General features: G+C 39.4%; 1 long non-coding RNA gene across 2 annotated transcripts in view; it reads left to right on the top strand.

The window, feature by feature from the left end:
* The first annotated feature begins 2,065 nt into the window (after window positions 1-2,065).
* Window positions 2,066-27,694, top strand: part of LOC124905257 (uncharacterized) — a 121,005-nt gene continuing 95,376 nt past the window's right edge. Inside the window, exons 1-3 of one of the 2 annotated variants that reach the window (XR_007068408.1) lie at window positions 2,066-2,272; window positions 2,508-2,586; window positions 3,146-3,331. This is a non-coding gene — a long non-coding RNA (uncharacterized LOC124905257). Of the gene's footprint in view, window positions 2,273-2,507; window positions 2,587-3,145; window positions 3,332-27,694 lie in introns of those variants that run through there. The other variant, XR_007068409.1, reaches the window with a different exon arrangement.

The following is a 27,694-nucleotide window of genomic DNA, read 5'->3' as shown; positions in this document are numbered from 1 at the left end:
TCTTTGCCAATGCTTATTGGCTAAGTTGTGAACGAGCTTTGCAAAGATTTATTGTAAAGTACCTTTAAATCAAATTTAAGATATTCTTAGAGGAAAAGGAATACATGCCAAATATTCAATAATCAAAGACAAAAATGGCAGTGGGATTTACATTTTTTCACTGATATCACATTGCACATGAATAAACTAAACTGTTCACATCAGCTTTATTGAGATATAATTCACATACCATACAATTCACCCATTTAAAGGGTATACTTCAATGGGTTTTTAACATATTCACAGAATCGTATAGCCATCCCCCACAAACTAATTTTAGAACACTTCATTATCCCCCAGAACTATTCCACACCCATTAGCAGTCACTCCCTATTTCTCCCCAGCTTTCCACTCCACCTAGCTCCTGGCAGTCACCAAGTTATGTTCTATCCTTACAGATTTTCCTATCCTGGACATTTCATATAAATGGAATCATACAATATGTGGTCCTTTGTTACAGCTTTCTTTCAATTATTTTAATGCTTTCAAGGTTCATCATGTTGTAGCATATATCAGTATTTCCTTTCTTTTTATTGCTGAATAATATTCTATTATATGGATACACCACATTTTATTTATGGATTCATCAGTTGATGACATTCGTGTTGTTTCCACTTTGGGTCTGTTATAAATAATGCTGCTATGAACATCCATGTACAAGTTTTTGTGTAGACATGTTTTCATTTCTCTTCTAGATTTTAGGAGTGTAATTGCTGGGTCATATATGGTAACTCTATGTTTAACTTTGTGAAGTATTGTAAAACTCTTTTCCAAAGTGGCTACACCATTTTACATTCTTGCCAGCAGTGTATGAGAGTTCCAATTTCTCCACATCCTTGCCAACACTGTTACTATCTGTCTTTTTTAACATAGCCATCCTAGTGGGTGGGAAGTGGTATTTCATGGTAGTTTTGATTTGCATTTCCCTGATGGCTAATGATGTTGAGGAATGAGCTCAACTTGAAGTTCCAAGAAAAAGAAAAGCTTATTTGTAAGCTAGACAGGTATAAGAATTTAGGTTGAAATCGAATCTTTTCATAATAGAAATCACTAATAATGATTTTTCACATTTTTCTGATGTGGAAAGCATATGCAGAGGATTTAAATTGTAATTGGTAAGTTGGTTGCAAAACAGAACGACTGGAAAAATTTGAAGAATTCTTTTCTATTTGATAAGAGCTGTTTTTCAATTTATGCAATACCCCTTTGAACTTATTAATCATACTGAGGTGAAAGAAGACTTAGGGAATATACTTAATTTAGACAGATGTAGTTTTCAAACTGATACCCTTTTTATTCAAAGTCAAAACAATTCTCCTCAAAACAATAAATCATTTTGTCAATGTGGATGCAAATATTAAAGGAAGATGATTTTCAGTACCTGATTTAGTTATTGGAAAACTTTTAAGTATGTTTGAAAGCCCTTGAGTATGTGAACCAACTTTTTCAACTGAAAATTTTATGAAATCTAGATTCAGATCAAGTATTCTCAGTGAAAATTTAGCGCACAAAAAGAGATATGCTGTAAGTTTTTTTAAAAGAAAAAACAGTTTTCAAAGACTCAATACTAAAAAAAGAATGTAAATATTTCAATAATATATGTTTCATTTTTATCACATTTTGAAATGATAATATTTGGATATATTGGGTTAAATAAATTATGCTATTTAAATTAATTTGACCTGCTTTCTTTTCCTCTTTATAATGATTACTTTCAGCGTTTGAGCTATGTAGCTAAGGGAGACACTAGGAGCAAAATTCTGTGCATAAAAAACTACAATGAATAGAAACAGTAGGGCAGGCCTTTTATGAGGAAGATAGGTTATCAAAACTTGTTTGTACCTGCTGATTCACTGTTTGCTTATGCTCAGTGTAGCCTCAAATAGAGAAATCCTCATGAAGACTAGAAGTGAGTAAAATCTTAACCAATAAGAGAGGACTTAAGACCAATCTAAGTTGTGATGCCTTAATGCTTTTGAAAATTCTCAGCCATCTACATATTTCTTTATTCTCCAGGATACCAGATCATGGTTGAGATGTGTAGACAATTACTGAAGCAAATATTTTTAAGTAACTAAGGGATACATAAGACGAGTGTGTGTGATTATTCCCGTGTTGTAGCCAGCAGGATGTAACTGAGAGGACTGAACAGGCATAATGCTTACTACAGACAACAATTTAGAAATTTTAGTACAGGAGCAACTTGCTTGTTAAATGAAAGATTACCAAATAGGTAATGCTATCATTTGAATATTCGTCCTCTCCAAAACTCATGTTGAGATTTAATTCCCAATGTGGCAGCATTTAGAGGTGGGACCTTTAAGAGGTGATTGGGTCATAAGGGCTCTTAATTTGTTAATGGGATTAATGGGTTCTCATGGAATCGGGACTGATATTTTTTTATAAGAGGAAAGATTTAAGCCAGCACACTCACCTACTCACCATGTGATGTCCCATACCGCTTCCAGCCTCTGAAGAGTCCCTACCAGCAAGAAGGCTCTCACCAGACGTGGCCCTTTGACCTTGGATTTCTCAGCCTTCAAAACTGTAAGAAACAAATTCCTCTTCTTTACAATTTACCTGGTTTCGGGGATTCTATTATAAGCAACAGAAAACAGACTAAGACAGGCAGTGAAGAATTGTCCCCTTTTAATAATATATATGCTACTCTTAAGTATGTATTTTAAAGTGTGTGTATAAAAACACACATACATATATAATATACATACGTAATGATATGTAACACAACATTTGTAATATCAACAGTAATTATCTCTGGGAAGCGGAACTACAGGTGATTTTTATGCTTTTCTTTTTGCTTCACTGTTTAATAAATTACCTTCAATGAGCATGTATCCCTTTTGTACTAAGAAAAGTCTTTCTAAAAGTATTCTAAAGACCTCCTACCTATGTAATTGAAAACTGCAGTCTTCTGAACAGAGCATAACCAGAAATGGAAGAAATTACAAAGAATAAACAATCATCACCTTCCCTTAACACACAACATAAAGATGAAAAAGACTTCCAACAAATGAAGTCTCAGTGAAATTCTCCAACAGCCACTTTGGCTCAGCAGAAAAGCACACATTTTCTTTTTGTTGCTCAGCTTGAGATGCCCGATCCCAGGCTCACCGAAGCGAGGTGATACCAGACTCTCCCAGGCTCACCCAGGACATGGTTTTCATGTAGTGCAGTGTAGCAGGTAAGGTTAAGCTTTGTGGGACACCCCCAACTACCTCTGCTTAGGAGAACACATGAAAACTCCATTAACAAATTCTGAAAGTTTCCTACTGGGCGCTGATTTTAAACATTACTCATTCTCTAAAAACTGCAAGCATAATGGATTTCTTTGGACAAGTAAAATGCACAGAAAATGCATTAAGGTCAGAGGTAGGCGTGGGATTCAGTTTAAGTGTCTGAAAATTTTAGATTTCTGTGACCCATTGCCCCCCAAGTAAGCCTTTTGATTATAAAACTCTTCTCTCTTGCCTCCAAACCTGCCCTGCTTAGTTCTGCTCTCAGAGGTATCAAGGGCTAGTACTTGGTACATTTCTGCTTGGTCAGATGCTCCCTGTTATACTTTGCCAACAGGAGCACACTAGGAAGGCTGTGAGGATAGAAGGAGGAGAAGGGACTTGCTCATCCACATTTGCTTACTGTTTCTGTCAGTGTCACCCCAGCAAGGATTCTTCACCCTGGAAGTGACATTTGCTCCCTTGGAGATATCAACACCAGCTGAGCAGCATCTCCTCTTCCAAGTTATTAACTTTTAACCATTTCAACTTCTTTCCCGTGTTCCCCAGTCCTAGGGGTAGAGCAACTTGCAGCAGTTACAACCTCTGAAATACCTGTGTCCCCATTTTGCCTTTCTGGATCTCCAATACCAGACTAACAATTTATTATATCAAGTTCTCTCTGTTAAAACAGCTAATGTGATTTCTGCCTCCCAACTAGACCTGACAGATATAGTCAGACAATTCAATCTCAAAAAGGTGAAGGGTTCATTATTATTATGACATATTAGGCAACTGTCCTCCCTCCTAACAGTTGAACTCGTAGTCGAGGAGAACAGACAAATACAGTTGTCCTTTGCTATCCATGGGGGATGGCTTTCCAGGACCCCTGCAGATAACCAAAATCCTCAGATGCTCAAGTCCATAATCTAAAATGGTGTCTTATTTGCATATAGCCTGCTCACATCCCCCTGTATCCTCTAAATCACCTCTAGATGACTTGTAATATCTAATACATTATAAATGCCATGTAAGTAGTTGTTATACTGTATTGTTTTTCATTCGTATTATTTTTTATTGCTGTATTATTATTTTTCTTTCTTTTTTCAACGTTTATGTTAGATTCAGGGGGCACATGTGCAGCTTTGTAATGTGGGTATATTGCGTGATGCTGAGGTTTGAGATATGAATGATCCTATCACCCCAGTACTGAGAATAGTACCCAAAAGGTAGGTTTTCAGCACTTAACCTCCCTCCCTCCCCATTCTATCAGCCTCCAGTGTCTATTGTTGCCATCTTCATATCCACGAATACCCAATATTTAGCTGCCACATACAAGTGAGAAGATGCAGCATTTTGTTTCCTTTTCTGGCTTTAACTCACTTCAGATAATGGCTTCCAGCTGCATTCATGTTGTTGCAAAGGATATGAGTTTGTTCTTTATTATGGCTGTGTAGTATGCCATGGCATACATGTACCACATTTTCTTTTTTTTTCTTTTTTTTATTTGTTTATTTTATTATTATTATACTTTAAGTTTTAGGGTTCATGTGCACATTGTGCAGGTTAGTTACATACATATACATGTGCCATGCTGGTGTGCTGCACCCACTAACTCGTCATCTAGCATTAGGTATATCTCCCAATGCTATCCCTCCCCCCTCCCCCCACCCCACAACAGGCCCCAGAGTGTGATGTTCCCCTTCCTGTGTTCATGTGATCTCATTGTTCAATTCCCACCTATGAGTGAGAATATGTGGTGTTTGGTTTTTTGTTCTTGCGATAGTTTACTGAGAATGATGGTTTCCAATTTCATCCATGTCCCTACAAAGGACATGAACTCATCATTTTTTATGGCTGCATAGTATTCCATGGTGTATATGTGCCACATTTTCTTAATCCAGTCTATCATTGTTGGACATTTGGGTTGGTTCCAAGTCTTTGCTATTGTGAATAATGCCGCAATAAACATACGTGTGCATGTGTCTTTATAGCAGCATGATTTAGAGTCCTTTGGGCATATACCCAGTAATGGGATGGCTGGGTCAAATGGTATTTCTAGTTCTAGATCCCTGAGGAATCGCCACACTGACTTCCACAATGGTTGAACTAGTTTACAGTCCCACCAACAGTGTAAAAGTGTTCCTATTTCTCCACATCCTCTCCAGCACCTGTTGTTTCCTGACTTTTGAATGATTGCCATTCTAACTGGTGTGAGATGGTATCTCATTGTGGTTTTGATTTGCATTTCTCTGATGGCCAGTGATGGTGAGCATTTTTTCGTGTGTTTTTTGGCTGCATAAATGTCTTCTTTTGAGAAGTGTCTGTTCATGTCCTTCGCCCACTTTTTGATGGGGTTGTTTGTTTTTTTCTTGTAAATTTGTTTGAGTTCATTGTAGATTCTGGATATTAGCCCTTTGTCAGATGAGTAGGTTGCGACAATTTTCTCCCATTTTATAGGTTGCCTGTTCACTCTGATGGTAGTTTCTTTTGCTGTGCAGAAGCTCTTTAGTTTAATTGGATCCCATTTGTCAACTTTGTCTTTTGTTGCCATTGCTTTTGGTGTTTTAGACATGAAGTCCTTGCCCATGCCTATGTCCTGAGTGGTAATGCCTAGGTTTTCTTCTAGGGTTTTTATGGTTTTAGGTCTAACGTTTAAGTCTTTAATCCATCTTGAATTGATTTTTGTATAAGGTGTAAGGAAGGGATCCAGTTTCAGCTTTCTACATATGGCTAGCCAGTTTTCCCAGCACCATTTATTAAATAGGGAATCCTTTCCCCATTGCTTGTTTTTCTCAGGTTTGTCAAAGATCAGATAGTTCTAGATATGCGGCATTATTTCTGAGGGCTCTGTTCTGTTCCATTGATCTATATCTCTGTTTTGGTACCAGTACCATGCTGTTTTGGTTACTGTAGCCTTGTAGTATAGTTTGAAGTCAGGTAGTGTGATGCCTCCAGCTTTGTTCTTTTGGCTTCGGATTGACTTGGCGATGCGGGCTCTTTTTTGGTTCCGTATGAACTTTAAAGTAGTTTTTTCCAATTCTGTGAAGAAAGGCATTGGTAGCTTGATGGGGATGGCATTGAATCTGTAAATTACCTTGGGCAGTATGGCCATTTTCACGATATTGATTCTTCCTACCCATGAGCATGGAATGTTCTTCCATTTGTTTGCATCCTCTTTTATTTCCTTGAGCAGTGGTTTGTAGTTCTCCTTGAAGAGGTCCTTCACATCCCTTGTAAGTTGGATTGCTAGGTATTTTATTCTCTTTGAAGCAATTGTGAATGGGAGTTCACTCATGATTTGGCTCTCTGTTTGTCCGTTGTTGGTTTATAGGAATGCTTGTGATTTTTGTACATTGATTTTGTATCCTGAGACTTTGCTGAAGTTGCTTATCAGCTTAAGGAGATTTTGGGCTGAGACAATGGGGTTTTCTAGATATACAATCATGTCATCTGCAAACAGGGACAATTTGAGTTCCTCTTTTCCTAATTGAATACCCTTTATTTCCTTCTCCTGCCTGATTGCCCTGGCCAGAACTTCCAACACTATGTTGAATAGGAGTGGTGAGAGAGGGCATCCCTGTCTTGTGCCAGTTTTCAAAGGGAATGCTTCTAGTTTTTTGCCCATTCAGTATGATATTGGCTGTGGGTTTGTCATAGATAGCTCTTATTATATTGAAATATGTCCCATCAATACCTAATTTATTGAGAGTTTTTAGCATGAAATGTTGTTGAATTTTGTCAAAGGCCTTTTCTGCATCTATTGAGATAATCATGTGGTTTTTGTCTTTGGCTCTGTTTATATGCTGGATTACATTTATTGATTTGTGTATATTGAACCAGCCTTGCATCCCAGGGATGAAGCCCACTTGATCATGGTGGATAAGCTTTTTGATGTGCTGCTGGATTCAGTTTGCCAGTATTTTATTGAGGATTTTTGCATCAATATTCATCAAGGATATTGGTCTAAAATTCTCTTTTTGTGTTGTGTCTCTGCCTGGCTTTGGTATCAGAATGATGCTGGCCTCATAAAATGAGTTAGGGAGGATTCCCTCTTTTTCTATTGATTGGAATAGTTTCAGAAGGAATGGTACCAGTTCCTCCTTGCACCTCTGCACATTTTCTTTATTATTATTTTTCATTGGTTTGATTTCAAGTATTTTTGACCAGAATTTTGTTGAATCCACAGATGCAGAACCAATGGATACAGAGGGCTAACCATAACTGAAGCCATGTGTATTCACAACACATACATATTACTAAGAATGGCTACACAGACATTTTAAGAATAGGGGCCAGCTTGGCTGGATGCAGTGGCTCACGCCTGTAATCCCAGCACTTTGGGAGCCGAGGTGGGCAGATCACCTGAGGTCAGGAGTTCAAGACCAGCCTGGCCAACATGGTGAAACCCCATCTCTAATAAAAATACAAAAATTAGCTTGGTGTGGTGGCACGTGCGCCTGTAATCCCAGCTACTCAGGATGCTGAGGTAGGAGAATCGCTTGAACCCGGGAGGCGGAGGTTGCAGTGAGCCGAGATCGCGCCACTGCACTCCAGCCTGGGAGACAGAGCAAGAGTCCATCTCAAAAAAAAAAAAATAGGGGCCAGCTATGGCTGGAATAAAGTAAGCCACACAGCCAGTTCATGAAAAACTTCAGGAAGAAAATTAATTTGGGGGATGAGTGACATAATCTCTCAGGTAGGAGGAGGAGGGAGGAGGAAGGAGGAAGGTCATTTCTGGTGTAGGCAATGGCATTTGCATAGGCTCTAATGGTGGAACAAATGAGTACATGGGAACTAGGACAGTAGCTCTTCATCATCAAGCTGCTCCTTAGCACTTAGAACAAAGCCTAGAACAACAGAGGTGATCAATAAATATTTGGTTAATTATTGAACTCAAAGATTGAGCCAGTTTATTTTGTTGGTGTGGAGAAGTTGAGTAATCTTGCCTTTTAAAGTCTTACTTCTGTGTGGCAATTCAGAAATATAGCAGGTTCATAATAATAGGAGCCAGGATTCCAGAAGAACGTATACTTTTTCTCCTGCTATGGGAAATGTGGTAGGGAAATGGGAAGCTTGGAGACAGCCAGGAGCTATCTCCTGAGTGCAAACAACCTCTGGACTTCAGCACTGACTACAGAGTTGGTGAGGAAATGGAAAAAGGGGAAAATGGAAGAATCTTTAGTACCTGGATATCAATATAAGCACAAGGGAAACGAGAAAAAGCCATCACTCTAGTCTTATGAATCTGAGAAGGGAGAAAAACTGCATATGAGTCATCCAAGCTCAGTTTTTAGATTAACATGTTGGTAGAATGTTAAAATAAAAATTGCCTATGGTCAGGAGAGGAAAATAATACTAAAAGCAAAAGCCAGGCATGGTGGTGTGTGCCTGTAATCCCACTACTCAGGAGGCAGAGACAGGAGGATTGCTTGAGCCCAGGAGTTCGAGGTTGCTGTGAGCCATAATTATGCCACTGCACTCCAGCCTGGGCAACAGAGAAAGACCCCATCTCTAATAAAAGAAAGAGAGAGAGAGGAAGGAAGGAAGGAAGGAAGGAAGGGAGGAAGGAAGGAAGGAAGGAAGGAAGGAAGGGAGGGAGGGAGGAAGGGAAAGAGAGAAAGAGAAAGAAAAAGAAAGAAGGAAAGAAAGAAAGAAAGAGAAAGAAAGAAAAGAGGAGAGGAGAGGAGGGAAGGGAAGGAAAGGGAAGGGAAGAGGGAGGGGATGGAGAGTGGAAGGAAGGAAGCCTGGAAATGAAGATGTGTGCAACTCATACATACATATATATATATATACCAACTGAGTGAATAGATGGCCAGTAGTATAAAGAGAGGAGACCCCCAAAACAGAAGAAACAACTCGTGTACCTAGAGGACTAATACAATTTACAGTGACCAGTTATTCTGTTTGTAAACTGGGAACAAACGAACAAAACTTGTGTTTAAACCAAAGTTGAGGGTTTTAGATTAAATTTAACATTTGCTGACAACGAGAGAGGGTACAAAATCTCCTTCCCTAGACTTCCCTTGAAATGAAATTGATTCTCATGTGTCTGGAGTGGCTGTGACTGTGAACCTGAATAAACTTGTTAAAATAAAATTTATTGTTTAAGTTCCTTTCCAGCATTATGATTTCCTAGAAGGACTTTTAGTGGTTGGTTAATTTGCTCAAAGTCACGTACAATGGGAGCCAAATAGAAATCAATTCACCAAGTCTGAAGTGGATTTCATCTCAAATGGTCATGTCATATATACCTCCTTCAAAGAAATAATCAATGGAAGTGCAGCCTTTTGAATGTCTGGAGCTTCCCACTGTGATGCCCTGGATGGGACTGTCCCCAGCCATCTCTGACTATTCTCACTGACCTGGAGCAGCAGAAAGAATGGAAAGTTAAGATTGAGGAGATAGAGGCCAACCAGCTTACTTTTCTTAAAATGACTAAAATTTGGTATTTTCTGCCATTTCCAGTCAACAAAATGCAAACTCTCAATAATAATAATAATAATAAGAGTGAACATTTCTGAACCATGGCACTACTCCACGGAAGTCCCATGATAACATTTTTTAGACATCATTTTATTTAATCTTCACAGCCTACTGAGATAGATACTATCTACTATAGGTTGAATTGTGATCCCCCCCTTCCCCAAAAATGCATATGTTGAAGTTTTAAAACCCGGCACCTCAGAATGTGATCTGATTTGGAAGTAGGGTTGTTGCAGATATAATTAGTTAAGATGAGTCATACTAAAGTAGGACAGGCCCCTAATCCAATATGACTTGTGTTATTATAAAAAGAACACTGTATGAAGAGATAGATGCATACACATATTCTAGTAGAAAAGAGTATGAATTTTTTCAGTGATATGAAAAGATTATTTACAATATCCCTAATTCACATAGCAAAATGCATCCTTTCATTTCCAGTGGAGTACAGTTACTATAATTAAAAAATCATGGTGAGCCCTTGTTATGGTTTGAATATATCTCCCTAAGTTCAAAGTTTCAAAGTGTTGGAAACTTAATGCCCAAAGCAGCAGTGATGAGAGGGTGGGGCCTTTAAGAGGTAATTAGGTCATGGGGGCTCCACCCTCGTGAATGGATTAATGTCTTTATTGAGGGAGTGGGTGATTTGTTGAGGGAGTGGCTTTGTTATAAAAGTGAGCTTCCAGAACTGTGAGCCAAATAAGCTTTTCTTTATAGATTATTCGGTCTGTGGTATTCTGTTACAGCAACAGAAAATGGACAAGATACCCACTATACTATCTCCAACATATTCTAGTTTGTAGTTCTAATTGGAAATAGCTGCTACTATATTTGGTAAGAAATTAGCTTTGTAGTTAAGAAAACAAAGGTTTTGTTTGGGATTATTTGGGAAGCTGGGTTTTCAGACTCCTTTTCACTGCTTTCTAATGACTAGCCATCCTAGAACTGCACTGGACCTCCCACTGCCTCACACACATCTGGTGTTTTCTAATGCAGAGGGGAAGGCAAGGAAAACAGGCCTTTTGTTAACAGAGACAGAGGAAGTTTTCCATTTTCATTGAAGGGCAGCATCCAAACAAGAGAGAGAAAAATGAAATACTACTGGGCTTATCTTCCAAATGCACCTGTTTGTGACAATGCAGTGAATGTCAAGTCGGCTGTATTTAACTGGAAATAGAATCCCCTTTGAGAAGTACAATGAGATCTTGCAGAGGTAGAGAGAAAAGAGAATCTGGGCTGGCTCAATAACTTAGGAAAGTGCATTGATATTGGCTTATTGTACTTATCACGGGATCAAAATCAGGAGTTTTAGCAACCTCACTCACAAGGAATACATCTTGAACAAAACTGTATGTTTTCATACTGTCATGTTTCAAAATCCCTTAGCCTCACCCTTTTGCCAATCCCAGAAAAACATAATTATTAGGGTCAGCTTGCTGATCACCTCCTAATTCAGAAATGCTTGTTCTCTGAGGTCTCTACTTACCTTCTGCTCACAAGCTCTTGATATATTACAATATTTAGGACTCAGTACGTACCCAGCACATACGTGGGGTAGTATCTGGGTATGATTCAAGATTTCAAAACTAAATATTTCATACCCATCCTTTTCCATCAGCATATTGGACATCAATATATTGAATAAGATCTAAAATTCATATGTAATATACTAACAGGGGAGTGGGGAAGAGGGAGATAAAAGCAAAAGTGCAAGTTTTCCTGAGCATAACTATTTAACTGGCATATTAGTAAAGGTAGCTCTCTAACAAATGAATTTTAACATTTCAGTGGTATAACATCCTAAAATTTAGTTCTCATTGACACAGCAGTCCAATATTATTGTTCCTCCTAGGCAGAAGGGGGCACTACTCCTGCAGTTATTCAGGAACCAGGATGACATAGACCTTGACAAATTTACATATGGCTTTTAAGGTCCTTGAATATCAACATCCAGCCAGTAGACAAGGGGTGGGAGTGTGAAGAGAGAGAGAGAGAGAGAGGAGGTTTTGATGATCAGACCTTGATATGATTTGGCTCTGTGTCCCCACCCAAATCTCACCTTGAAATGTAATAATCCCCACATGTCAAGGGCTGGCCAAGGTGGGGATAATTGAATAATGGGGGAGGTTTCCTTCATGCTGTTCTCGTGATAGTGAGTGAGTTATCATGAGATCTGATGGTTTCATGAGGGGCTTCCCCCTTTGCTCGGCACTCATTCTCTCTCCTGCAGCCCTATGAAGAGGTGCCTTCCACCATGATTGTAAGTTTCCTGAGGCCTCCTCAGCCATGCAGAACTGTAAGTCAATTAAACCTCTTTCCTTTATAAAGTACCCAGTCTCGGGTATTTCTTCATAGCAGCATGAGAACAGACTAATACAGGCCTGGTACAGAGACATATATTCCATGGCTTTAAATCATCACATGGCAACACATGACTGCAAGGGAGGATAGGAAATTAGTGTTTGTGCTCAAAATATAAAAATAGAGGAAGGAGGAAGAGAAAGAGGCAGTAACAGAGAGAGAGAGAACAAAGCTGTTGATCAAGCAGCAGTATCATAATTGACCAAAAAAATGCAGATGATAAATGTGTGTCTAATCCAGGAAAGCAATATAAAACAAAAATTGACCATTGCACACTGACTCGAAATCCCCACTCCTGAAGCACAGAGTATAAAATAGCACTCTTGTAGCAGTTAGCTATTGCTGCATAACATACCACTCCAAAACTGAGTGACTTGAAAGAACGTTCACTTTATTATTACAACTCACATAATAAAGGATAGGTCATGTGTCATCTGACCTTGGCTGGACTTGCTCATGCATCTGCAGGTTGACTGGTCTGCTCATATGTCTGCAGGTCATCTGGAGACTCTATTCTAGGATGCACTAGGCTAAGCACCTTAGGGGAGAGGTCTGTTTCATGTATCTCTCATCCACCTCTTGGGACCAGTGAGATGTCCTGAGTGTATTTTTCTCACATTGATGACAGAAGTATGAAAGAGCTATCAAAAACACAGAAAGCTCTGGGGGCTCAAGCTCCGAACTAGCACACCATAATTCCTATCTCATTCTATTGACCAATACGAGTCACATGACTGAGCTGAGATTCAAAGAGTAGGGAAAGAGATGCTGTCTCTTTAATAGGAGAAACAGCAAAGGTATGAGTAAAGGACATGGATACAGAAAGAGGTGAAGAATGGAGCCATTAATGTAATCTACCACATCTCCCAATTTCAACTAAAAGTCCCCTAACAGAGATTATCTCAAAGGACACATTGATGGTTATATTTCCGATGAGAATTAGTCAATTGACTTCTAATCACTCCCAGTATGCAGTCTCCACAGTAGACATGCAAATAAGAAAACAACAACTGGTGGGGAGTCAAAGCTGCCTGTCTATTGGTAAGCATTAGTCATCCATGCTAACAGAAGTGATTGTGCAAATGATGTTGCTGGTTCAATTCTAATTAGCAAAGAATATTTTAAAGGTAGGCTTACTTTTAACTCACCTGCAACTTAAAGAAAAGGCTTTCTCTCATGGGAGAAAACTTTCCATAAGCAATTGCCACTACTGGGGTGGGAGTGAAGTAGTGTGATAATTAATTTTGTGTCAACTTGACTGGGCCACAGGGTACCCAGACATTTTGTCAAACATTATTCTGGATATGCCTGTGAGGGTGCTTTTGGATAAGATTAATGTCTGAATCAGTAGGCTGAAAAAGGCTGATTGCTCTTCCTAATGCGAGTGGGCCTCATTCAAGCAGTTGAAGACCTGAATAGAACAAAAAGTCAGAGTAAGAGGAAACTCCTCCTGGTGACTTCAGCTGGGACATTGGTCATTTCCTGCCTTTGGACTTACACTGAAAAATCAACTCCTCTTGAGTCTTGAGCCTGCTGGCTTTTGGACTAGAACTTACACTATGGGCTCTCCTGGGTCTGCAGCTTGCTACCTACAGATCTTGGGACTTCTCAAGTCTCCATAATCACATGAGTCAATTCCTTATAGTCAATCAATCAATCGCCTCTTGGTTCTGTTTCTCTGGAAATCCATGACTAATAAAAGCAGCAAGAAGTAAGATTCAATTGCAGCTTCAGCATCCTCTGAAATGTGCCAAGGAAATCTAAACAATACCCATGAAAAGTAAAGCTCCAGTTTGTTTTTCCCACTTGTCTAGCTTCAAAGCACCAGCAGCTATTAACATTGATCTGTCCAGACTGCATTTATAAAAATCTGTAAATGGATCAGAGGGGAAATTCAATTAGACTGTAATTTCGCAGTACTCTGAAGAACATTACCTGGCAAGAACACTCAGGAGGGCCAATTAGAACCATCATGGCCTATCTGGTTGTAGAATACAAACATGTTCTCTCTCCTTCCACAAGACTTGAAGTACTACTTGGGTAGTGCATGTCTCATTTGGAGAGTTAGTGCTGCTTATGTCTAGAGTTACTGATTACGCACAAAGATTAGGAAATGCCTGAAGTAATTCTGTTAGCAGAACTGGACGGGGGAATAAAGACAACTGAGTGATGCAGCTAAGATTAATGTCAGAAAGCTGGTAATATGAACTCCAACAGAGAAAGTGAGCTGCACTCTGCTGATGGCCATTGAGAGAAGGAAAACAAGCAAGACAAAAGCAACAGGGCCAATAGCTCTCAAGAAAAGGAGAGGCCCTCCTCATCTAGCCCAAGTTCAGGGTCAGTTTCTAAAACTCTGGGTTATAAAGGGAAAGGGACATTAACTCATCGTGTTTTATGCCATATTTGTAATATCCCTCCCTATTTTACAAATAAGTAAACTGAGACTCAGAGAAGTTAAAGAAATTGCCCAAGATCACATCAGTAGAAAGTGAGGCTCCTGGGATTCTGATCCAGGTCCATCTGAATCCAAAGCACATATTCTTTCCACTACATGACATACGTTTGTGTCTAAGGAAATGAGTGAGATAAAATGACACTAGGAGAGGCTTAGACCAAGCAAGGCAGTGAGAACTCTTGCACTGCATCAGGGGAAAATATCTTTAATTAAAAGAAAGTGTGGTTGTCAGCAAAAGCTGAAGGAAATTATAAGAGACAGAAAAGGAGCCTGCTTACGATGAAACAAAGAAGTCCAGAAAACACTGAGGAACTGCAACAAAAGAGCCACATCCTGGGGTGGTCCTCGTTAGGAAGCACAGGATCAGAGACAGGCAGCTAATCAGGAAGATGAAGAAACACATTGAATTTGGAGGAATTCACCAAGGATAGTGGCCCTGTGCCTACTACACTCCATGGTTGAGAGAACTTGGAAATGTGAAGTGATGTAGCAAGCTTGGAGTTGACAAAGGTGGGACTGATGGTCTGGGTTGGCCTCCAGAAAGACTTAACTTTTACTCCAGTGACCCAGAAACAAGTAGACCACAGACATGCTCAACATCTGGATCCAGATCCTGATTTTCCAAGAATCATGTTTTGTCTTTCTGGAATGTGCCTAAATCTCTTTCACCTCATGCTTCAGTCAGATGGGACTCTTTGTTTTTTGAAATGTCAAGCCTTTAAGCATGTTACTCACTCTACCACAAATGTCATTCTCCTTTCCCCACTCCCAACTCCAGCTCCAACACTGATTTAGAACTCAGCCTAACTTACTTCTTGGGGTGAACCTAAGATGTGTCGTTCAGATTCCCCTTCAAAGAAGCACTCATTGCCCCAGCTCCTGGGAGCACTGTCATACCAGCCTTTGGCTGGCAGCCCTTTCATGTCCTGCTTCACAAGAAGAGAGCCCCCTTGCCCAAGTTCATGCTCCTTCCTGCAGTGGCCTATATCCAATGACTGATTAGTGCTGGACTATTGAAGCTTGGCCATAACTGGGACAACCATGATGAACCCTATATCCTCCAGACCTCCTCATGGAGTTTGCCACAGCTTCCCCTGGCCTGCATTGCAGTTAACTTCTCTTTTACCCACATCTGCTTCCTTTCCCTCCCTTCCACAAGTGTTGATCCCACAGGCACTTTTTAACAACCTGCCTACTAAACTCCATCTCAGGGTCTGCTTCTCCAGGGATGCAATCTGTGACACTTCTGGCCCTAAACCTCCATAGGCACAAGAGTTGTCAAATTGATTGGATTTCTGGCAGACTAGAAAGCTATTTAAATGTTTTGATAAACTTGTGAGTGAGTGCTCTTCTCCCCATTTGTCCCAAGTCCATCAAAACATTTAAATAGCTTGCTAATCCACTAGAAACCCAATAAATTTAAGAACTCCTGTGCCCATGTGGGTTTAGTCAGGAAAACAGCAGCACCACATTTATTACCAGAATAAGGAGTTTAACATAAAAATCAGGACTCATATGAACATGGGAGAAGTTGCAGAAGTGAAGGTACAGAAGGGGCTGTAGCCAGAGAATGGAAGGTTTAAGGACTTCACCAGAAGCACTGAAGTGGGCCAAGAAGCAGGAAGTGAGGAAATCCAGGAAGCCACTATTCTGGCCACCAAAATAGGAGCTTGTAGAGAGATCTTTAGCTGCCGAATCAGCAAAACCCACTGCATTTCACAAAGCTGCTATATGTTAGCTCTACAGTTATACCTTGTATTTCCACCTTCCAAATTTCACAAAAATACCTGTCACTGGAAAAATTTAATCCAGAATTATACAGGAAAGAATTTTCTGGGAAATATAGTTCCCAGCCTTAGATGGCAATAGTGCTGGGACAAGTTGGCACAGAAAATCCAGCAAACTCCCCAGCCAAATAATTGGGCTTATCTGCTCAAATCTATGAGTCATGGTCTGTTCTCTTTATCTCTCCCCACTTCAGGTGGCTTCAATGCCCTTCTGTTCTCTACATAAGCCTGTTTCTGAGAAGAGCCTCGGGAAAAATAGGCATATTTGTCCTCTCCATGTACAATAGCTGTGGCTCAACCCACTGTGATCAATGTTTATGGAAAAGAGACAAAAGCCTGCAAGTGGGCTTAGGAGTGGCAGAATTTAGAGGAACTAGGAATAATATGTGGCTTATGGTCAGCTTTCCTGCCTTTAGACTTAATTACCCATTATAATGAGCACCTATCAACCCAGTCACATCCTACAGTTGTCACCAACATGATGCAGAATTTATTCTCTGGTATCTGAGTCAGAAAGCAAAGTAGCTCCTATGAAAATAGCCTGAAGTCCAACCCGCATAAGCTTCATCCACATGAGCCTTTACCCACATTGAAGAAGGCAAACTTCAAGGCTTCTTTTGCATCATTACCATCTCTGAGGCCTTGCAGATGGGTAACGTGGAGGCTGTAAAACACAATTTGCTAAAAGAATAACCTTAATAACTCACTTTGTCCATTTGGGGAGGGGACAGATTAGCAAATGGTGCACTAAGTGGATTTTAAATCCATATATTACTGGTCCCCTGAGAACATATTTTTTAAAGTTCTTCTGGAAAACAAGAATATCAGCTCTATCTGCAAAACTGAATAAAGCTAAAAAAGAGGTGGTGGCAGCCTCTTTCAGTTTTCTTTCTTTTTAAACATCAAGTCACATATTTAGTGGTGGGTTTTGTTGTGTTGTATTTTCATTTTTAACTGTGCCTCAGAACATTGCTACTCCAAGTGTGATCCTTGGACCAGCAATATCAGTATCACCTGGAAGCATGTAGAAATACAGAATCTCAGGTTCCTCCCAGGACCTGCTAAATCAGAATCTGCATTTTAACATAATGACCAAGTGATTCATATGGCCTAGGAAGTAAAACTGACTGCAACGAGTAAAGTTATTAGATTTTCATATACTCAATGGCTTCCTAACAGAGATTATTTATACCACATGGTCTCCGTGCTCCAAGCCAGGGGTTTTTACTCTATGGGAGAACAGGTGAATCCCTTGCTTTAAAACATGAGCTTAGCCATCTTGGGAACTCTTGTGATCCCATGACCCCCAACTGAAGGGCCTGATTTTCATAACTGAGGGAAATGTGACAACTTTCCCATATTCAAAATGCTTTCACTGAACTTTGGTCCCTTCCTTTCTACTTTTCGTGCTTCAGGTCGAGTCAAGGCCATTTGATTTTTCAGGAGTGGTCTATGAATGATCTCTGCACGGTCTGAGAAATCCAGAGTCCTGGAGGAAATTTCCATGTCTAGATTTAGATAATAATCACTATAGCATGTGTTCACAGTGCTGTGCTCATACCATTTTCATGCACACCTGCTCCTGGTGGGTGTGCTTTTCCTCTCAACAGCCAGCACCTGTGTGTCTTTTGTTGGCCAGCAGCCCTCCGGCTGTCATAACCTGCTCTGCCTGTGTGCATGGAAATCCAGAGATGCCTGAGAATTTATATCCTTCGTCCACAGCCTTCTAACTCATGTCTGACTAGTGGAGAGAACAAATATACTCCAGTTCCCTTGCTCACTGGATAGAAGACTCTGAAGTGTACCTACACTGTTTCCAGAACCTTGCCTGTGGTATATTACTTGATAGCATACACTTACTTGACCTTCCCTTCCTTGTCCTGCTTTGGTGGTTATTCCTAGAAACAGTTTCTACTAAATCACTTTTACCTGAAGCCTTGCCTCAGGCTCTGCTTCTTGGGAACCCAACCTAAGATGGTCACTTTCTTGGCCTCCCCTATTGTATACTATGGTTTGTAATTTCAGATGAAATTTATCATTTCTATATACGTATCAAATATCCTTTCTGTAACAGGCACTGAGCTAGGGGTGGAAATACGGTAGTGATCAGGAGGAATATGGTTCCTGCCTTCAGGGAGCTTACACCTAGGCAGAGAAAAGACTCTGAAGTCTGATGAAGGTTATGATCAACTATATGATGTTATTATGAATAAGATAAAGACAAATTTATCTCACAGGAGTAGCTCAGCTTTTCTTCCTATTAAGACCTGAGAAAAATGACTTCCCAGGGGCCTCAAACAGGAGACACAGAATTTTAATTGTATACAGAAAATGTAAAATTTATATCCATGCTTCTAGTGATTAAGTCAACAGATTTTTTTGAGTAGCTACCTTCAGGCACTATGGAAATAAAATGAATAAGGCATAATTCCTTGCTTCAAGGAGATAACTCACTAAGAGAGGAAAGTCAGATCCACAAAGAAATCAGTGTAAAACAATCTGGTAAATATCATTGTCAAAATATGTCCAGTGTGTTTTAGGAACACAGAGAAGTAGTTACTCCTGTGAGAGTGCCAGAGAGAGGTAGTAACACTCGAGTGAATCTGTAAAAGCAGGAGTTTGTTAGGCAAAGGCACTGCAGACAGAAAGGACAAAGGGAAGGCTAGGTGAGGTAAATTGCCCTGAGATCCAAGCATGAAGTACAAGGTGAGAAGTGAGAAGAAATGAAGGTAGAGATGTAGACAAAGGGAGATCACACAGGGCCTTGAACAACATGTTAAAACACTTGGACATCATTGGAGGCCATCTGTTAGAAGGTTAATTTTAAGCATGGGAGGAACAATAGACACTGATTTCCATTTGAGACCAACCACCGTGCCAACATCTTAGATGACTCCAATTTAAGAAAGATCATTCAGGAGACTTATAATAATCTAGGTTTGAGATCATGTAGGCCTGCTTCAGAGATAAGGAGGAAGAGATGGATTTGAGAAATATTTAGACAGCAAATCATTACAGCTGAAAAGCAGTATGGTTTACCTCAAAATATGTGATATAGAGGCATTACCTTTCACAACAGACCACAAACATTGGCCCTGGGTGCACCTGAGCTCTCATACTGAATGATACACGGCATACACAGAATTTTCTCAAAACTTGGGAAGTCTGCTAGACTTGTATTCACAGCTGAACCTAGAAGCACAGCCCAAGGCAGGTATTGGAGGATAAGAGACATCTGGGGCCAGATTTGTGAGCAGGCTCCCACTCCCTGATGAAAGAAAAGGCACCTGGAAAAAGCCACCCCAAAAAAGAAATAAGGTCAAGGCAGCTGAAATAACATAAAGTGAGCACGTGTTGAAAAGTTCAGAAAATAACATGTTGAAATAAAAGATTATTTTTCCCAAAATTACTGCTAATTCATTTGCACTCTGAATGACCTTATTTAAAACAAAGATTTTTAAAGCTGCCAGATTGCCCTCCAACTAGAAGGCATGATGAAGAGACATCATTTCCTATCCCTCTGTCCTTAGCAGGTGGGTACTGAAAAATATTCAGATTTGCAAATTGATTTTTCCCCCACCTATTAGTCATCAGTGCTAATACTTTCCTGTAGCATCTTAATGTCATACTAAATTCGACAGAACCAAAGGAGTTAGAGTAGTGTTTCTCAACCTTCACTGCACAGTTGAATCACCTGAGAGCTACAAAAAAATAAAATACTAATGCCTGTAGCCCAGCCTCAGAGATTCAGATTTAATTGACCTGGCTTTGAATATCAGGATTTTTTTCAATGTTAAAATCTTTAATTAGTAGAAAAATATTTCAGACATATATTGTAGGAATAATACACACCCAAGTGAGATTCATTTCAGGAATTCAAGGTTGATGTTCCTGAATATCAGGATTTTTTAAAACTCCTGGGTGATACTGTTGTGCAACTAGGATTGAGAAACACTGCATGGGGCACTGGTCTCAAAATGGCCCTGGACTGGAAAAGAGCAGTAAGTACTCACTTTTCTACTCCTCAACAGTCCTGCAGAGTCTAAGTGCAGGGTGGTACTCACCTTTTTCATAGGCAAGCAGCCAGAAGACTGGAAATATCTCTAATCAGTTTAGTTTATCCAGATGACCTTCTTCCCAGCTCCTAGAGTACCCTAGGTGTAAATTAAAGAGACAGACACACAGCATGTGTGATTTTCTCCAACAAGGAAGGGGTCTGTCAGTGAAATGGACACGTTTTCAAACACCAGAAGGGATCTCAGTGCTCTTCTCATTGCACATTGAAAGTCTAATAAAGAGTGCTGCTATATCTTGAAGAAATTACTTCATTGATTTAATCATTGAAGATAAAATGTAATGAAAACACATAGAAATGTAAAGTGCTAAAACTAAATAAGGAAATATGTAAACACATTATGGCAGAGTGAGAAGGTTGGAGCTAAATATACCATTGATATCAGCGAGGATGGTGAAATGGAGGGATGATACATGTGATCACATGATATTAATGAAAATGCTGTTCAAATGATTGAATATTCACATTTCAGCGAGAAAGGTCTACCATGGGGGATAAAAGAGCCTAGGAATTCTAAGTCTACAGTGACTCTGAACCAAAGCCAAATCAAAGAAAAGGGGCTAAATTGTATGGAGTGTATCACGCTATGCCAAACATTTGATTCCTGCAACAGAACTAGGAGGTAGATATTTCTAATCCAATTTTGCAGATAGGTAAACTGACATCCCATGAGTATAAGTAAAGGGACAAAAACTTGTAACTTTTTGATAGTAAGACACAGTACAGCATGGTGGCTAAAAGTAGGGACTTAGGTGCTCAAATGCCCAAGTTCATAGTACAATTTCCCAGCTATTTGCTTACTCTTTCCCTACATCAGTTTATTCATCTATAAAATAGAGATAACAATAATTTCTCCCTCACAGGGTTTTGTGAGGTTTAAATTAGTTAATGCCTATCCAAGCACTTGGAAGGCTAAGACTGCTAAGGCTTAGAAGGATAAGCAGCATATTGTAAGTGTTAGCTATAATTATTATGGCCTGTTATCCTGAAGATAACAGGAAAATGGATGTATTTCAAGGAGGAAGGCATACCTGTGATACAAACAAGAGAAGAAACCAAAAGCAGCCCAGAAACTCTGAGGAAATGCTAGAAAATTTAAATCAGTTAGAAACAGACAAAGGGAGAAAACTAAGCAGGGATAGCCATAGCCCAAAACACTAGGGCTAGAAGTAGCTCTTTACAAGAGAGAGCCAGAGGAACTCAAACACAGAGGGAGCACCCACAAAGAGCAGGCATGGGCCAAGAAGTAAGAACAGAGCTAGTCAATGATGGTGCTGCATTCAGAACAGCCAGGCCAGGCTGGGTGCCCTCCAGAATGTGGACAACACAGGGAAGAGACCTCAGAGACTTCTGACACCTAGCCAGCAGTATTAGTCAGTTTTCACACTGCTGACAAAGACATACCCGAGACTGGGCAATTTACAAAAGAAACAGGTTTAATTGACTTACATTTCCACGTGGCTGGGGAGGCCTCACAATCATGGTGGAAGGCAAGGAGGAGCAAGTCACATTGTACATGGATGGCAGCAGGCAAAAAGAGAGAGTTTGTGCAGGGGAACTTCTCTTTTTAAAACCAACAGATCTCATGAGACTTATTAACTATTGCGAGAACAGCATGAGAAAGAACTGCCTCCATGATTCAAATACTTCCCACTGGGTCCCTCCCACGGTACATGGGAACTGTGGGAGTTACAATTCAAGATGAGATTTGGGTGGGGACACAGAGCCAAACCATATCACCAGCCAACACTAAGAACTGAAGTCTGAATAAAGGAACACCCTGTCTGTCCTGAGCCCCTGATTTGGGTATAGAGGTCTAAGAGAAAAGCAAAATAGAGTATGAGAGAAATCCAGATTCCCAAAACAGATGTGGAGAAAATAAACCCAACCAAGGCATTGCCTTCCAGCAGGAAAATAAATAAATCACTCCACTAACCAAGTAAATCTCCCCTCATTTGGCAAAGGGAGAGTTCCCCACAGACCAGGCCACCTGACCAAGGCCCAAAAGTACACGTGAATACTGGATGTCAGGAATGATTTTCTTTTTCTTTCCTTCTATTCTTTTTTTTTTTTTTTTTTTTTTTTTTGAGACAGAATCTCGCTCTGTCGCCCAGGCTGGAGTGCAGTGGCGCGATCTCGGCTCACTGTAAGCTCCGCCTCCCGGGTTCACGCCATTCTCCCGCCTCAGCCTCCGGAGTAGCTGGGACTACAGGCGCCTGCCAACCGCCCAGCTAATTTTTTGCATTTTTAGTAGAGAGGGGGTTTCACCGTGTCAGCCAGGATGGTCTCGATCTCCTGACCTCATGATCCGCCCACCTCAGCCTCCCAGGAATGATTTTCAAAGAAAATATTATTTACTCCAAACTGACACCAGGAATTATAGAAAATCTAAGTAGAAAAAATTGAGAAGTTGTCAGCTAAGCACTAGGCTTAGTTGACTTTACGGAGGAATAACACATCTAAAGAACAGATAACTTAAACACGATTTAAACACCTCACTGCATAAAAAAGCAAGAAAACTTCCCATATTCTTTTTATAAACTAAGCCAATGTTGATATCAAAGCCAATCAAAGATTACACAAGAAAGAAAACTAGATACTAATATCACATATGATTTAGTAATGAAAAATTCTAAATGAAATATAGATATATGACATTCAGCAGGACAATTCTCCATTGCCAATGAAGGTTTTATACTTGGGATGTGGAAAATCTATTAAAATAATCTATCATATTAACTCATATAATACTTCCTATGTGCTGGTTTTTGTTCTAAGTACTCTCTCTCTCTCTCTCTCTCTTTCTCTCTCTCTCTCTATATATATATATTTAATTTATATTTGTATATATACATAATATGTATAATATATATGCACACATATATATACATATATATATAAATTCATTTAATCCTCAGTGAAGATCTATGAGATAGGCACTATTATTATTGTGAGTTACAGAGAAGGAGACGGAGGCATAAGAACCTCAAGTGACCTCCTCAAGGTGAGAGAGCTAAAGAGTAACAAAGCTAGGATTTGAACATAGGCAAGGCAGCTCAGAGCCTGTGCACTTCTCCACATTGCTATATTGCCTCTTGTTAAAAAAAATAAGGAAAATGTCATATTGTCTTCTGTATAGGTGCTGAAAAGACATTTGGTGAAAGTCAACCTCCATCAAGAATTATTTTTTTCTTGGCTACTTTTTTATTGTGATAAAATATACATGATATGAAATTTACCATTTTAACCATTTTTAAGTGTACACTTCAGTGACATAAGCACGTTCACATGTTGTGCAGCCATCACCGCCATCCATCTCCAGAACTTTCATCAAGAATTTTAAGAAATGGATAAATTCCTCGACACATACACCCTCCCAAGACTAAACCAGGAAGAAGTTGACTCTCTGAATAGACCGATAACAGGCTCTGAAATTGCGGCAATAATCAACAGCTTACCAACCAAAAAGAGTCCAGGACCAGATGGATTCACAGCTGAATTCTACCAGAACTACAAGGAGGAACTGGTACCATTCCTTCTGAAACTATTCCAATCAATAGAAAAAGAGGGAATCCTCCCTAACTCATTTTATGAGGACAGCATCATTCTGATACCAAAGCCAGGCAGAGGCACAACCAAAAAAGAGAATTTTAGACCAATATCCTTGATGAACATTGATGCAAAAATCCTCAATAAAATACTGGCAAACCGACTCCAGCAGCACATCAAAAAGCTTATCCACCACGATCAAGTGGGCGTCATCCCTGGGATGCAAGGCTGGTTCAATATACGCAAATCAATAAATGTAATCCAGCATATAAACAGAACCAAAGACAAAAACCACATGATTATCTCAATAGATGCAGAAAAGGCCTTTGACAAAATTCAACAACACTTCATGCTAAAAACTCTCAATAAATTAGCTATTGATGGGACGTATCTCAAAATAATAAGAGCTATCTATGACAAACCCACAGCCAATATCATACTGAATGGGCAAAAACTGGAAGCATTCCCTTTGAAAACTGGCACAAGACAGGGATGCCCTCTCTCACCACTCCTATTCAACATAGTGTTGGAAGTCCTGGCCAGGGCAATCAGGCAGGAGAAGGAAATAAAGGGTATTCAATTAGGAAAAGAGGAACTCAAATTGTCCCTGTTTGCAGATGACATGATTGTATATCTAGAAAACCACATTGTCTCAGCCCAAAATCTCCTTAAGCTGGTAAGCAACTTCAGCAAAGTCCCAGGATACAAAATCAATGTACGAAAATCACAAGCATTCTTATACACCAATAACAGACAAACAGAGAGCCAAATCATGAGTGAACTCCCATTCACAATTGCTTCAAAGAGAATAAAATACCTAGGAATCCAACTTACAAGGGATGTGAAGGACCTCTTCAAGGAGAACTACAAACCACTGCTCAAGGAAATAAAAGAGGATACAAACAAATGGAAGAACATTCCATGCTCATGGGTAGGAAGAATCAATATCGTGAAAATGGCCATACTGCCCAAGGTAATTTATAGATTCAATGCCATCCCCATCAAGCTACCAATGCCTTTCTTCACAGAATTGGAAAAAACTACTTTGAAGTTCATATGGAACCAAAAAAGAGCCCGCATCACCAAGTCAATCCTAAGCCAAAAGAACAAAGCTGGAGGCATCACGCTCCCTGACTTCAAACTATACTACAAGGCTACAGTAACCAAAACAGCATGGTACTGGTACCAAAACAGAGATATAGATCAATGGAACAGAACAGAGCCCTCAGAAATAACGCCGCATATCTACAGCTATCTGATCTTTGACAAACCTGAGAAAAACAAGAAATGGGGAAAGGATTCCCTATTTAATAAATGGTGCTGGGAAAACTGGCTAGCCATATGTAGAAAGCTGAAACTGGATCCCTTCCTTACACCTTATACAAAAATCAATTCAAGATGGATTAAAGACTTAAACGTTAGACCTAAAACCATAAAAACCCTAGAAGAAAACCTAGGCATTACCATTCAGGACATAGGCATGGGCAAGGACTTCATGTCTAAAACACCAAAAGCAATGGCAACAAAAGCCAAAATTGACAAATGAGATCTAATTAAACTAAAGAGCTTCTGCACGCAAAAGAAACTACCATCAGACTGAACAGGCAACCTACAGAATGGGAGAAAATTTTCCCAACCTACTCATCTGACAAAGGGCTAATATCCAGAATCTACAATGAACTCAAACAAATTTACAGGAAAAAAACAAACAACCCCATCAAAAAGTGGGCGAAGGACATGAACAGACACTTCTCAAAAGAAGACATTTATGCAGCCAAAAAACACACGAAGAAATGCTCACCATCACTGGCCATCAGAGAAATGCAAATCAAAACCACAATGAGATACCATCTCACACCAGTTAGAATGGCAATCATTCAAAAGTCAGGAAACAACAAGTGCTGGAGAGGATGTGTAGAAATAGGAACACTTTTACACTGGTGGTGGCACTGTAAACTAGTTCAACCATTGTGGAAGACAGTGTGGCCATTCCTCAGGGATCTAGAACTAGAAATACCATTTGACCCAGCCATCCCACTACTGGGTATATACCCAAAGGACTCTAAATCATGCTGCTATAAAGACACATGCACATGTATGTTTATTGCGGCACTATTCACAATAGCAAAGACTTGGAACCAACCCAAATGTCCAGCAATGATAGACTGGATTAAGAAAATGTGGCACATATACACCATGGAATACTATGCAGCCATAAAAAAATGATGAGTTCATGTCCTTTGTAGGGACATGGATGAAATTGGAAATCATCATTCTCAGTAAACTATCGCAAGGACAAAAAACCAAACACTGCATGTTCTCACTCATAGGTGGGAATTGAACAATGAGAACACATGGACACAGGAAGGGGAACATCACACTCTGGGGACTGTTGTGGGGTGGGGGGAGGGGGAAGGGATAGCATTAGGAGATATACCTAATGCTAAATGACGAATTAATGGGTGCAGCACACCAGCATGCCACATGTACACATATGTAACTAACCTGCACATTGTGCACATGTACCCTAAAACTTAAAGTATAATAATAATAATGATAATAAAGAATTTTTAAAAGTCAAGGTCAAATATATCTATCCCACATAATGGAGAACTGGAAACATTGTCATTAAAGTCTGAAACAAAGCCAGAGTGTCTACTATTCCTACAATTATTTACCATTGCTCTGGAGCACTGGCAGAACAAAAACAGATGAGAAAGTTAAATTAAAACTATAAAAATTGGAAAATGCTTAATATTACCATCATTTGCAGCTGGTTTCTGGATACATTTCTGAAATAGGAAAGAATCAACTGAAAAACACTTATAAATAATAGTAGAATGCAAACATGTGACTAGGTCTAAAATTAATGTATACAAATAGTCATCCCATTTACAAACCATAACCAATTAGAATAAATGAAAAAATACCACAATTTAAGGTAGTCTTACACACATGCAAAATACCTAGAAATAAACATAACAAAGTTGTAATAGAAAACTTTCAAATGTCAGTAGAAAGTGCAAAAGAAAGTTCGAAAAATGGAAAGACAAACCATATTCTATGATTAGTAGGTTGGTTATCATAAAAATGTCAAGTGTCCCCAAGTAATGTGATCTCATTAAGAATAACAACAGAAATTTTGTTTGCATCTCACAAGCAGAGTCTAAAGTTTATCTGGAAAAGAATAAGGCAAAATTGTATATATAAACCTCAGAAAATAGACACAAATAAGAAGGAGCTAGCATTACTGGACATTAAAAGATGTTATAGAGATTAAAACCATTTAAATGATCAATGGGGCACAATAGAAGTAGACCAACTGCATATGAACATTTCTTTTAGATAAAGGTGATAGTTTATAACCATGGGGAAGAGAGGGACTGTTCTTAATTTTAGTTAGACAATGAGGTAGCCATCTAAACAATAAAATTGGACAGACACATCACATCTTATACCAAAATAAATTCCAACTTGAAAAAAAAGTTCATTTTAAAATTAAATAAAACTGAAAATTAATGGAATACCTTCATAATTTTAGGGAGAGGGTGGTCTTTCTAATTATTAAAAATCCTGAAGCCATAAGAGAAAATACTGGGAAAATCTATAACCTAATTTTTTGTTTGAAGTCTGCTTAGCAAAAACCACCACAAGCAAAGCCAAAAGACAAATATCAACTTGGGAAACTGTCTGCAATTCATACCGTAAA

This window comes from Homo sapiens, chromosome X (genome assembly GCF_000001405.40).
Source record: "Homo sapiens chromosome X, GRCh38.p14 Primary Assembly".
Lineage (NCBI taxonomy): Eukaryota > Metazoa > Chordata > Mammalia > Primates > Hominidae > Homo > Homo sapiens.
This window is presented reverse-complemented; position numbering and strand designations above follow the sequence as displayed.